The 13,414-nt window shown below is 47.4% G+C and overlaps 1 pseudogene, besides 1 other annotated feature; it reads right to left on the bottom strand.

Moving 5' to 3' along the window:
* On the bottom strand, positions 746 to 1,474 carry ELOCP2 (elongin C pseudogene 2; annotated as a pseudogene).
* Positions 5,778 to 5,879: a silencer, noted in NCBI's record as "fragment chr15:41844728-41844829 (GRCh37/hg19 assembly coordinates)". NCBI's record gives its function as "represses an EF-1alpha promoter that drives an FKBP-Casp9 reporter gene in an ReSE screen in phorbol 12-myristate 13-acetate-treated (for megakaryocytic differentiation) K562 erythroleukemia cells {active_cell/tissue: K562(+PMA)}" and the evidence as "EXISTENCE:reporter gene assay evidence [ECO:0000049][PMID:32094911]".

Raw genomic sequence — 13,414 nt, 5'->3', positions numbered from 1 at the left:
TTTCCAACTTGGGTCCTGAGTTTCCCAAGATCTTGGTAATCCCCAGGTTTTACCTAATATATATCCCCACCACTACACTACACAGGCCAAAGCCTAATTGCCCGTATCTTTTTGGGCTGTCATTTTTCCTGGTTGCTTCCCCTGCTTCTACCCCTTTTCCCAGGACCTGGTGTGAAAGTTGGCTGTGTCGTCACACTGTCCAGTCAAACATTAGCTATTATTAGTAGACCACCTTGCACACAGTAGGCTTTCCATAAATAAATAGGCAGATGCCTGTTAAATGAATGAATAATTGCTTCAGAGCCTGCCCCACAACCAGTAATCACGAGGGTGGCCTTGCCCACAGACATCCTGTTAGGCACATGCAGAGCTGGTTCCAAACCAAGCCTACCAAGTGTGCTCCTCCCCTTGCCCTTCCCTCCAGGGGGAAGCCCACCCCACACCCCTTCCAGAGGTCCTGGGTAGAGAGGAGGGACCAGCCACTCAGCTCCGGTTGCCGCAGGCTCACTGGATCTTTTCAGGGATTCTCCTGAGCAGCAGGGGCCTGCCTCTTCTTCCACTTGGCCCCAGCAGTGCTTGTTTATTAATTACCCTAATGATAACAACAGCAGTGCTGGCAGCAGCCTGAGACCCAGCTGGGGGCGCCCCCAGGCGGCAGCAGGAGGAGAGACTCATGAGGCACTGTCAAGACATGGATGGCAGGGGCCAGATATCTCTGTCTCTGTTTCTTTCTTTTTTTTTTTTTAATTGGCATATTTGTTTATTTCTCAGTTTGTGAAAATGTTCTTAATTTGTTGATGTAGCAAACAAATTTCAACTTTGATTGCTATGAAAAAAACAAGATAATCTGCTTTGCAATGAACTTTATATAGTTAAACTGCATACAGGCAACATGCTATATATGAAAAAGTTACTAACTGATCTACAGGTATTACATACTGAAAAGAGTTAACAGTTTATTATAATTTATTTTATTTAACAATCTAGGAAGTTCGCAGCCATCAGCAGTTCTAGTACAATTTCAGGTGCAATTGGGAATTCAGGAATCTCGATGGAGCTGTTAGTGTAGCGAACCTTGTAGGTAAAATACATGCATACTTTCGATAGCACATGTGAAGGTATCTCTCTAAAATTGACCTCATTGGTTTCGTTCTCAGCAAACTGACCTCACAGCATAAACAAAAATTAACTTAAGACCAAAGACCTAAATTTAAAAGCCAAACCCATAAAACGCCTGGGCCACTCAACATGGCTTTTATCGTGCCTGATGTTAATGCATGTTCTCTTTTTACAATAAATTCATGGCCATCAGATGATATCAATTTGACATACGTGGCATCAGGGCCTTCACAGCCACCATAGGTTTTCTCCTCTCCATCCATTTTGTTCTTATGAAATTCTACTTTGCTTCCCCAGGAACTTTAGTAGTTTCCTGGTGAGGCGAGGACACAGAGTGTGTGGCTCACTTCCGTCTCCTCTGTCTCTGTTTCACTGAGCTCTCTGGCAATTATGTTCTTCTTCCTTCTTCCTTCTTCTTCCTTCTTTCTTCTTCTTCTTCCTCTCCCTCTCTTCCCCTTCCCCTTCCACTTCCCCTTCCCCTCCTCCTCCTCCTATTCTTCTCTGCTTCTTCCTCTTCCTCTCTTTCTTCTTCTTCTTCTTCTTTTTTTTTTTTAGATGAAGTTTCACGCTTGTCGTCCAGGCTGGAGTGCAATGGTGCGATCTTGGCTGACTGCAACCTCCACCTCATGGGTTCAAGCGATTCTCCTGCCACAGCCTCATGAGTAGCTGGGATTACAGGTGCCCACCACCACGTTCGGCTCATTTTTGTATTATTAGTACAGACAGGGTTTCACCATGTTGGCCAGGCTGGTCTCAAACTCCTGACCTTAGGTAATCCGCCCACCTCGGCATCCCAAAATACTGGGATTACAGGTGTGAGCCACTGTGCCTGGCCTCTCTGCCAATTTTCTTGAGCACTGTGGGTCAGCTTCAGGACCCTTTCCCAAAGGAAAAGTCTCGTTACTTTCCAGAATCCACAGTTTCTGAGTTTGGGCTGAGTCAGGGCAGGCAGACAATAGTCTGGGGCCGAAGGCAGAATTGCCTGGGCTGCTCTTGGGCACTTGTCACTTTTCCAAGCCCTCTCTCCCGCCTTTTCTCTGAGGGGGACTTCAAGTTTCCAGTGAAGGGGAGCCTCCTCCTCTTGATTCCAGCTGACATTAGTAAGATTCATTCTAGAGGATGTTGGACCCAGAGCCCAACCCAGCCTTTTACTTCCTTATCTCTCTTCATTCCCTCCGCACCATTTCCTGAGCTGATAGGGAATCCCACCCTAAAGGCCATCCTTTTCTACTGGTCAAAATGGGCTTCTCGGACATGTGATGGATGCCACTTACAGCCTTGACAAACTTCCCACCTCAGCCACCAGCCTGAGATACATCACTGTCACAGAGGCAGCACACTTTCTGTGTGGGACAGGGGGCCCTGAGTTCCTGCTTCCCCTACCCCTAATTCTAAATCTCTCTCAATTCATAGTATTTCTTTTTTTTTTTTTTTTTTTGAGACGGAGTCCCGCTTTGTCACCCAGGCTGGAGTGCAATGGCGTGATCTCGGCTCACTGCAACCTTCGCCTCCCAAAGTGCTGGGATTACAGGCATGAGCCACCTTGCCCAGCCGTAGTATTTCTACTTACAGGGGCAGAGAGGAGGCCGGGAGCAGTGACTCACACCTGTAATCCCAGCACTTTGGGAGGCCTAGGCAGGCGGATCATGAGGTCAGGAGTTCGATACCAGCCTGGCCAACATGGTGAAACCTCATCTCTACTAAAAATACAAAAATTAGCTGGATGTGGTGGCGGCTGCCTGTAATCCCAGCTACTTACTGAGGAGGCTGAGGCAGGAGAACCACTTGAACCTGGGAGACGGAGGTTGCAGTGAGCCGAGATTGCGCCATTGCACTCCAGCCTGGGCGACAGAGCATGACTCCATCTCAAAAAAAAAAGAAAGAAAGAAAAAAAAAGGGCAGAGAGGAGTGGGGGGTCCTGGTCTTCTGACTTTTCAGCTCCTACAGAGGTTTGACCTCCTGAGCCCTTCTAACCCATTCTCCTTGCTTATCTCCCCCACCTTTCTCTCTCTGGGCACAGTACAGGAATGTGCTTCTAAGGGTATGTGAGCAGGTGTGATTTTGTGGAAGAGACATGTAGGTGGATGAGAGGGTGTGCATTGTGATGTATGAGGGAGGGTGTGCATTTGTGCAAATTCTAAATGTGACTGATGCTTTGTGGGCGGATGGGAAGAAAGTGTGTGCGTGTGGGTGTGGAGGTGTGTGTGTGTCTGTGTGTGACTGGAGGAGGTTGGCTGCCTGTGCAAATGCATGCCTGCAAAAGCTCTTCTTCTTCCATAAATGCATTGTTTGGAAGGAAACTAATAAAATCAACAGGAAATGTTTTTGACCTAATGCGGGAGTGGCTGTCCCAGGAGTTCCTGTCCTTAGAACAGAACCAGAAGCAGCTATACTCTATTCCAGAGGAGTAAGAAGGGGCCGCAAGGGTGGAGGAAGACTGAGTGAGAGGAAGGGCCAGCGGCAGCCCCTGATTATGGATGGGACTAGGTTGGGCACAGCATCTCACTAATCTAGTAAAATAACTCTCTGCCCACTCTCAGCCTTTTATGACCCAGAACTGTTCAAGGAGGCCAAGGATCCAGAGAAGATGAAGACAAACCTGGAGATAAAAACCATTGTCCACAGAAGCAGGGCACTCTGCTACCAACTTCCGGCACTCTGAAGAAGCAGCTGTTTCAGCTTTTTCAGAGTTAAGGCCTTCTGCCCCACCCCTAGAGTGGGGGAAACAAGAGGAAACCATGGTGAGCTGCAGGATCATGACAGTCTCACTGGTCATATAACCAAAGACCTGTTCTTTCCCAACTACTGTCTCAAGAGATAAGAGTTGCCCAGGCGTGATGGCTCCCACCTATAATCACAGCACTTTGGGAGGCTGAGGCGGGAAGATCACCTGAGGTCAGGAGTTCAAGACCGGCCTGGCCAACACGGTGAAACCCTGTCTCTACCAAAAATACAAAAATTAGCCAGATGTGGTGGCGCATGCCTGTAGTCCCAGCTACTTGGGACACTGAAGTGGGAGGATCACTTGAGCCCGGGAGGTGGAGGCTGCAGTGAGCTGAGATGGTGCCACTGCACTCCAGCCTGGGTTACAGAGCGAGATCTTGTCTCAAAAAAAAAAAAAAAAAAAAAAAAAAAAAAGAGGTGAGAGTGGGCAAGTTCCACTCAAGGGATGGGGGGATGGGGCAGGCCACAGACTATGTTCCTCACCTTAGAGAAACCTCTGGGACTGGTAGAAACATTACCTATATGTGTAATTCCACATGTGCTGGGGACTGTTGCTGTCCCTGTCAAACACCCACTGCCTGAAATTCCTAAGCCAGAAACAATGCAACTTCTTGCCCCATCAAAGATGACACAGAAATGTAAATTCCTAAGAAGACCACACTTTGACTTTCAGTCACAGGAAATATTTCAAATGATCAGATTTCCCTCCAAAAGCAGATTTAGGAAGCAGTAGAGCAATAAGGTTGCGGTTTCTGAAAGGGCAGATGGGTCCAAACATGGAAGAAAAACTTTCATCTTCAAAATTTCACCTAAAGATGGCTGTGGAAGAGTTTTGTGTGTGTATGGACACGTGTGTATGTGTGTGTGTATGTGTGTGTGCCTGTGTGTATGCGTGTGTGCGTCTGTATGTATATGTGTGTGTATGCATGTGCGTGTATGTATGTATGCTTGTGTGTGTGCCTGTATGTGCATGTGTGTTAATGCCTTGTATCTGGCTGGCTGTCTTTCTCTATTTGACCCTCTTTAACTGCAGCCTGGTCAGTGAGGGTTTTCTGGCTCTATTTTCTTATTTTATATGTGTATGTATGTATGTACATATTTATTTATTGAGACAGAGTCTCGCTCTGTTGTCCAGGCTGGAGTGCAGTGGCACGATCTCAGCTCACTGCAACCTCTGCCTCCCAGGCTCAAGCGATTCTCCTGACTCAGCCTCCTGAGTAGCTAGGATTACAGGCTCATGCCACCATGCCCAGCTAATTTTTGTATTTTTAGCAGAGACAGGGTTTCATCACGTTGGCCAGGCTGGTCTCGAACTCCTGACCTTGTGATCTGCCCACCTCGGCCTCCCAAAGTGTTGGGATTACAGGCATGAGCCACTGCACCCAGTCATATTATTTTGTATTATGGAATATTTCTTTTTCTTTTTTTTTTTTTTTTTTTAAGACTGAGTCTTGCTCTGTCACCCAGGCTGGAGTGCAGTGGTGCTATCTCAGCTCATTGCAACCTCGGCCTCCCGGTTCAAGCGATTCTTCTGCCTCAGCCTCCCGAGTAGCTGGGACTACAGGCACATGCCACCATGCCCAGCTAATTTTTGTATTTTTAGTAAAGATGGGGTTTCACCATATTGGCCAGGCTGGTCTTGAGCTCCTGACTTGTGATCCACTTGCCTCGGCCTCCCAAAGTACTGGGATTAGAGTCGTGAGTCACTGTGCCCAGCGGAATATTTCAAACATACATGCAAGTAGAGAGAACAGTATAATGAGTGAATCCCCAGTGTACCTGGCATCCTGCTTCAATGACTATCTTAGTCAATTGTATTTCATTGTCCTAGTTTGTTGTTTTGCTGGGTTTTTTTTTTCTTCAACTTTTATTCCTAACCGCTAGACAACCAGAGATTGCTAAAGTTTGTTTTTTTTTTGTTTGTTTTTTTTTTTTTTGAGACAGAGTCTTGCTTTGTCACCCAGGCTGGAGTGCAGTGGCGCTATCTCGGCTCACTGCAAGCTCCACCTCCTGGGTTCACACCATTCTCCTGCCTCAGCCTCCTGAGTAGCTGGGACTACAGGTGCCCGCCACCACGCCCGTCTAATTTTTTATATTTTTAGTAGAGACGGGGTTTCACCGTGTTAGCGAGGATGGTCTCGATCTCCTGACCTCGTGATCTGCCTGCCTCAGCCTCCCAAAGTGCTGGGATTACAGGCATGAGCCACCACTCCCAGCCGGATTGCTGAAGTTTCTAAAAGCAAATCTTAGCCATATAATTTCAGCTGTAAATATTATAATATATATCTGTAACAGGTAGACTTAAAAAAAAAAAAACTGACCTGGCCTGGCGCGGTGGCTCACACCTGTAATCCCAGCACTTTTGGAGGCTGAGGCAGGTGGATCACGAGGTCAGGAGATCGAGATCGTCCTGGCTAACACGGTGAAACCCCGTCTCTACTAAAAACACAAAAAATTAGCCGGGCGTGGTGGTGGGCACCTGTAGTCCCAGCTACTTGGGAGGCTGAGGCAGGAGAATGGCGTGAACCCGGGAGGCGGAGCTGGCACTGAGCCGAGATTGCACCACTGCACTCCAGCCTGGGCAACAGAGCGAGACCCCATCTCAAAAAAAAAAAAAACTGACCCATATATACAGATGATTACATAGAGAAAGTTATAAATATGTGTGTATACTGTAGTATATACATATATTCACTTACTCTGACAGTTGAGAAGGTCCAAAAAGCAAGACACCCCAGTAGCAATGAGCATACTTACCACGCAGATCTTAGTTTAATATTATTATTATTATTATTATTATTATTATTATTAGAGATGAGGGTCTCCCTTTGTTGACCAAGCTGATCTCAAACTCCTGGCCTCTGGCTGTCCTCCCATCTAGGCCTCCCAAAGTGTTGGGATTGCAAGTGTGAGCCACTGTGCCTGGCCCAGATCTCGGTTTCTAATACCATTCTCCAATAACAGTTATTCTCTAATAACTTCTTCAAGAGTCCTTGAAGAAATGACTGATTCTAGGATTGGGGCAGGAAATATACAAGAGGAGCTATTTCCTTACTTTCTTGTAATGCCAGAACGTAAGGAAATGCACACACGCACCCCGACAGGGTATAGTAAAAGGTCATTGGAGAGGTGAAAAAATTTGAGCAACAAAATAAAATAGTATTGGCTGGGTGTGGTGGCTCACACCTGTAATCCTAGCACTTTGGGAGGTTGAGGTGGGTGGATCACTTGAGGTCAGGAGTTCGAGGTCAGCCTGGCTAATATGGAGAAACCAAACCACATCTCTACTAAAAATACAAAATTAGCTGAGTGCAGTGGCACATGCCTGTAATCCCAGCTACTTGGGAGGCTGAGGCAGGAGAATTGCCTGAACCCAGGGGCTGGAGATTGCAGTGAGCTGAGATTGCGCCACTTCACTCCAGCCTGGGCAAAAGAGCGATACTCTGTCTCAAAAAGTAAATAAATAAAATGAAATAGTATTAAATCACAAACCAATATATAAAAGCCTGTATCTATATTAATAAATAAATCAATGGGGGCCGGGTGCGGTGGCTCACGCCTGTAATCCTAGCACTTTGGGAGGCTGACACAGGTGGATCCCTTGAGGTCAGGAGTTTGAGACCAGCCTGGCCATCATGGTGAAACCCCGTCTCTACTAAAAATACAAAAAATTAGCCGGGTGTGTTGGTGTGTGCCTGTAATCCCAGCTACTTGGGAGGCTGAGGCAGGATAATTGCCATAAAAGAGAGGCAGAGGTTTCAGTGAGCCGAGATCGCGCCATTGCACCCCAGCCTGGGTAACAGAGCCAGACTCTGTCTCAAAATAATAATAATCAATCAATCAATCAATGGGGAACACAGACCTCTTCCATGCAGAAGAATTCCAAATAATGTATGTAGGCGCTCCACCCACATGGAGGCGGAGCACGACTGCCCACTCATTGTGATCTGCACATAGTGACATACTACGTGATCTGCACATAGTATGAAAAGCAGGGGTGAAAGAGTAACTTTACAGTGGAGAAACTTGACAAACATTACCTCAGCCGGTGATTAAGGTTAATACCACTAGTGATAAGACATGTTGATAGTACGTACCCTTAACAGGATGTAATAAAATTGGCAGGGTAACCTGTGGTCTTCCTCTCAAAAACCTATAACCCCAGTCTAATCATGAGAGAAACATTAGACAAATTCTAATTGAGAGGCATTCCTTTTTTTTTTTTTTTTTTTTTTTTTTTGAGACAGAATCTCACTCTGTTGCTCAGGCTGGAGTGCAATGACGCAATCTCAGCAACCTCCACCTCCCAGATTCAAGGGATCCTCCTGCCTCGGCCTTCCAAGTAGCTGGGTTACAGACACGTGCCACCACTGGCTAATTTTTTTGTGTTTTTAGTGGAGACAAGGTTTCAGCATGTTGGCCAGGCTGATCTCAAATTCCTGACCTCAGGTGATCCACCAGTCTTGGCCTCCCAAAGTGTTGGGATTACACACATGAGCCACCATGCCAGGCCTCCAACTGAGGGGCATTCTACAAAACACCCTACCAGTATTACTCCAAGCTGTAAAAGTCATCAAAAATATAAAAAGTCTATGAAATTGTTATAGCCAAGAGGCGCCTAAGGGGACTTGACAACTAAATGTAATGTAGGTCTGGCACAGTGGCTCACACCAGTAATCCCAACAGTTTGGTAGGCCGAGATGGGAGGATCCCTTGAGGCTGGGAGTTCAAGACCAGCCTGGGCAAGATGGCAGGACTCTGTCTCTACGAAAATAAAAATAAAAAATTAGCCAAGCCTGATGGCACACACCTGTGGTTCCAGCTACTTGGGTGGCTAAGGTAGGAGGATAGCTTGAGCCCAGGAGGTTGAAGCTGTGGTAAACTGTGATTGTGCCACTGCACTCCAGCCTGGGCAACAGAGGAGACCCTGTCTCAAAAATAAATAAAGGCCCAGCATGATGGCTCATGCCTGCAATCCTAGCACTTTGGGAGCCCAAGGCTGGCAGATCACTTGAGGTCAGGAGTTCGAAACCAGCCTGGCCAACATGGTGAAACGCTGTCTCTACAAAAAATACAAAAATTAACAGGACATGGTGATGGGTGCCTGTAATCTCAGCTACACAGGAGACTGAGGCACGAGAATCTCTTGAACCTGGAAGGTGGAGGTTGCAGTGAGCTGAGATTGCGCCACTCCATTCCAGCCTAGGCGACAGAGCGAGACTCTGTCTCAAAAAATACATACATACATAAATACATACATAAAAATAAATGTAATGTGGTATCTTTGATGTGATCCTAGAAAAGAAACAATGGCCGGGCGCAGTGGCTCACGCCTGTAATCCCAGCACTTTGGGAGGCCGAGGCGGGTGGATCACGAGGTCAGGAGATTGAGACCATCTGGCTAACACGGTGAAACCCCGTCTCTACTAAAAATACAAAAAAATTAGCTGGACATGGTGGCGGGCGCCTGTAGTCCCAGCTACTCGGAGGCTGAGGCAGGAGAATGGCGTGAACCCGGGAGGCGGAGCTTGCAGTGAGCCGAGATCACGCCACTGCACTCCAGACTGGGCGACAAAGTGAAAAAAAAAATTATTCTTTTGCCAGGTGCAGTGGCTCACTCCTGTGATCCCAGCACTTTGGGAGGCTGAGGCAGGCGGATCACCTGAGGTCAGGAGTTTGAGACCATCCTGGACAACATGGCGAAACCCCGTGTCTACTAAAAGTACAAAAATTAGCTAGGCGTGGTGGTGGGCACCTGTAATCCCTGCTACTTAGGAAGCTAAGGCAGGCGAATAGCTTGAACCCGGGAGGTGGAGGTTGCAGTGAGCTGAGATTGCACCATTGCACTCCAGCCTGGGCGACATGAGCGAGACTCCGTCTCAAAAAAAAAAAAATTCTTTTTAGCGACAAAGTCTCATTCTGTCACTGAGGCTGGGGTGCAGTTGTGCAAACAGCTTGCTGCAGCCTCACATTCCTGGGATCAAGCTATTCCCCCGCCGCTGCATCGCTAGGACTATAGGTGCCACCACACCCAGCTAATTAAAAAAAATTTTTTTTATAGAACAGGGTCTTCCTACGTTGCCCGGGCTGGTCTTGAATTCCTGGCCACAAGCAATACTCCTGCCTCAGCCTACCAAAGTGCTGAGATTATAAGCATGAGCCACCACACCCAGTCTTTGAAACAAAAAAACATAGTCTTACCCAATAAAAATTTCATAAATCCTCGCTGGGTGTGGTGGCATGCACCTGTGGTCCCAGCTACTTGGGAGGCTGAGGTGGGAGGATCACTTGAGCCTAGGAGGTCGAGGCTGCAGTGAGTCATGACAGCACCACTGCACTCCAGCCTCGGTGACAAAGCAAGACCCTATCTCAAAAAAAAAAAAAAGTAAATCCTTAATATCATACAAAATCTAGTTTATATTTAGTATTCCCTAACAGTCTCAAAAAAACAGTTTCAAAAATGAAGATATAAACAAAGACCGCATTTCATATGTTATAGTCTCTGCCCAGTGCAGTGGCTTACACTTGTAATCCCAGCATTTTGGGAGGCTGAGGTGGGCAAATCACCTGAGGTCAGGAGTTTGAGACCAGCCTGACCAACATGGTGAAACCCTGTCTCTACTAAAAATACAAAAATTGGCTGGACGCAGTGGCTCACGCCTGTAATCCCAGCACTTTGGGAGGCCGAGGTGGGTAGAACACCTGAAGTCAGGAGTATGAGACCAGCCTGGTCAACATGGTGAATTGAAACCTTGTCTCTACTCAAAATACAAAAATTAGCCGGGCATGGTGGCATGTGCCTGTAACCCCAGCTACCTGGGAGGCTGAGGCAAGATAATCACTTGAACCCAGGAGGCAGAGTTTGCAGTGAGCCGAGATCACACCATTGCCCTGCAGCTTGGCAACAAGAGCGAAACTCCGTCTCAAAAAAAAAAGAAAAAAGTTAGCCAGGTATGGTGGCACACGCCTGTAATCACAGCTACTTAGGAGGCTGAGGCAGGAGAACCACTTGAACCCAGGAGGCGGAGGCTGCAGTGAGCCGAGATCATGCCACTGCACTCCAGCCTGGGCAACAGAGCAAGACTCCATCTCAACAACATAAAATAAAATAAATAATAAATAAATAGTCTCGGCTGGTGCAGTGACTCATGCCTGTAATTCCAGCATTTTGGGAGGCTGCGGCGGGTGAGTCACTAGAGCCCAGGAGTTTGACACCAGACTAGGTGACATGGCAAAACCCTGTCACTACAAAAAATAAAAGAATTAGCCACGTTTGGTTCAGGCCTGTGATCCCAGCTATTCAGGAGGTTGAGGCAGGAGAATCGCTTGAGCTCAGCAAGCAGAGGGAAGCAGAGGTTGCAGTGAGCTGAGGTTGCACCACTGCACTCCAGCCTGGGCAACAGAGCAAGACCCTATCTCAAAACAGTAGAAAAGATTCATCAGTAAGTTCATATAATGGCAACCTGATCCATCCATATAAAGTCTGCATCAACCTTTCACCTAGTTGTTAAACAATGACTGTTAAAACTATTAGGTCAAAGGTTGATGAAGACTTTATATGAGGCTGGGTGTGTTTTCCAACCTTAGCAGGCACCAAAATTAAGTGGAAGGCTTGTTAAAACAGAATGCTGGAGCTGGGGATGGTGGCTTATGCCTATAGTCCCAGCATTTGGGAGGCCAGATCACCTGAGGTCAGGAGTTCGTGACCAACCTGGCCAACATGGTCCAACCGTGTCCCTACTAAAAATACAAAACTTAGCTGGGCGTGGTGGCACCATTGCCAGGAGCCATTATCTCGTTATTTCATTGCGAACAATTATTTTCTACTATCATTCATTCTGCATATTTGGCTCCAGTTCCTCTCCCTCATCCCGCTGCCTCCATAACTTCTGACCAGGTCTAGTACTATTTTGGACCTCAAGATGACTAAATCCTAGTAGCCGAAATTTACATCTGTAGTTGAAGCCAAGAGGATTATAGATCTGCTATAGTGCGGGACCAGCAGCATCACCTAGAAACTTGGTAGAAATACAAATTTTGGGGCTCTATTAGAAACCTACTGAATCGGCTGGGCACGGTGGCTCACGCCTGTAATCCCAGCACTTTGGGAGGCCAAGGCGGGCAGATCACGAGGTCAGGAGATGGAGACCATCCTGGCTAACACGGTGAAACCCTGTCTCTACTAAAAATACAAAAAAGTAGCCCGGCATGGTGACAGGTGCCTGTAGTCCCAGCTACTCAGGAGGCTGAGGCAGGAGAATGGTGTGAACCCGGGAGGTGCAGGTTGCAGTGAGCTGAGACTGCGCCAGTGCACTCCAGCCTGGGCGACAGAGCGAGACTCTGTCACAAAAAAAAAGGAAACCTACTGAAACAGGCCAGGTGCAGTAGCTCATGCCTGTAATCCCAGCACTTTAGGAAGCTGACGTAGGTGGATCACCTGAGGTCAGGAGCTCGAGACCAGCCTGGCCAACATGGTGAAACCCCGTCTCTACTAAAAATACAAAAATTAGCTGGGCATGGTGGCGGGCGCCTGTAATCCCAGCTACTCGGGAGGCTGAGGCAGGAGAATCACTTGAACCCAGGAGGAGGTTGCAGTGTGCCGAGATCATGCTATTGCACTCCAGCCTGGGCGACAAGAGCAAGACTCCGTCTTAAAAAAAAAAAAAGAAAGAAAAAGAAAAACCTACTGAATCAGAAACTCAGAGGTTGAGGCCCAGCAATCTGTTTCGTTTTGTTTGAAACAGAGTCTGGCTCTGTGGCCCAATCTGGAGTGCAGTGGTTCCATCTTGGCTCACTGCAACCTCCGCTTCCCAGGTTCAAGTGATTCTCCTGGCTCAGCCTCTTGAGTAGCTGGGACTACAGATGGACACCACCATGCCCTGCTAATTTTTATATTTTTAGTAGAGATGGGGTTTCACCATGTTGGTCAGGCTGGTCTCGAACTCCTGACCTTAGGTGATCTGCCAGCTTCAGCCTCCCAAAGTACTGGGATTATAGGCATGTGCCACTGTGCCTGGCCCCAGCAATCTGGTTTAACAAGACTTCCAGTTGATTCTGGTGCCTGTTAAAGTTGGAAAGCCACTGGACTAACATTGGCTGCCCCATGATGTCCTTTGGTCTAGAAATGATTTACTTAAGGTCCTACTATGTGCATGGCAACACGTTGGGTGCTCAGTATTTAGATGCAAAGTACAAGGTCTGGTGCCCACAAGGAACTGACAGTCTATTCAAGGGAACAGGACATAAGCCTGTGAAAAGGTAACCGGTGACAGTTGGTAGTTGGCAGTGTGTTCTTAGCATACCACACAACTGGTGCAGGCGGTGAGATTCCAGGTGAATCCAAGGAAAGTTTGGTGAGTAGGCGTGGCTGGCAGAGGTTTTAGAGTTGACGCCAGCTAGGCCTTAAAGAGTTATCCTTTGGAGACAGGGGTGGCAGGGAAAAGAGGGAGGATTTCCAAGAAGGGAGAGTGGGATGAACAAAGGCAAGATTCTGGAGAAGATGATAACCTTGCTAGCAAGGAAGCTTTATTCCCTCTCTTCTCACCACCACTATTTCTGCAGTGCACACTGG

This window comes from Homo sapiens, chromosome 15 (assembly GCF_000001405.40).
Source record: "Homo sapiens chromosome 15, GRCh38.p14 Primary Assembly".
NCBI classification, from domain to species: Eukaryota; Metazoa; Chordata; class Mammalia; order Primates; family Hominidae; genus Homo; species Homo sapiens.
Note: the sequence above shows the minus strand (reverse complement) of the source record. Positions and strands in the feature narration are given on the sequence as shown.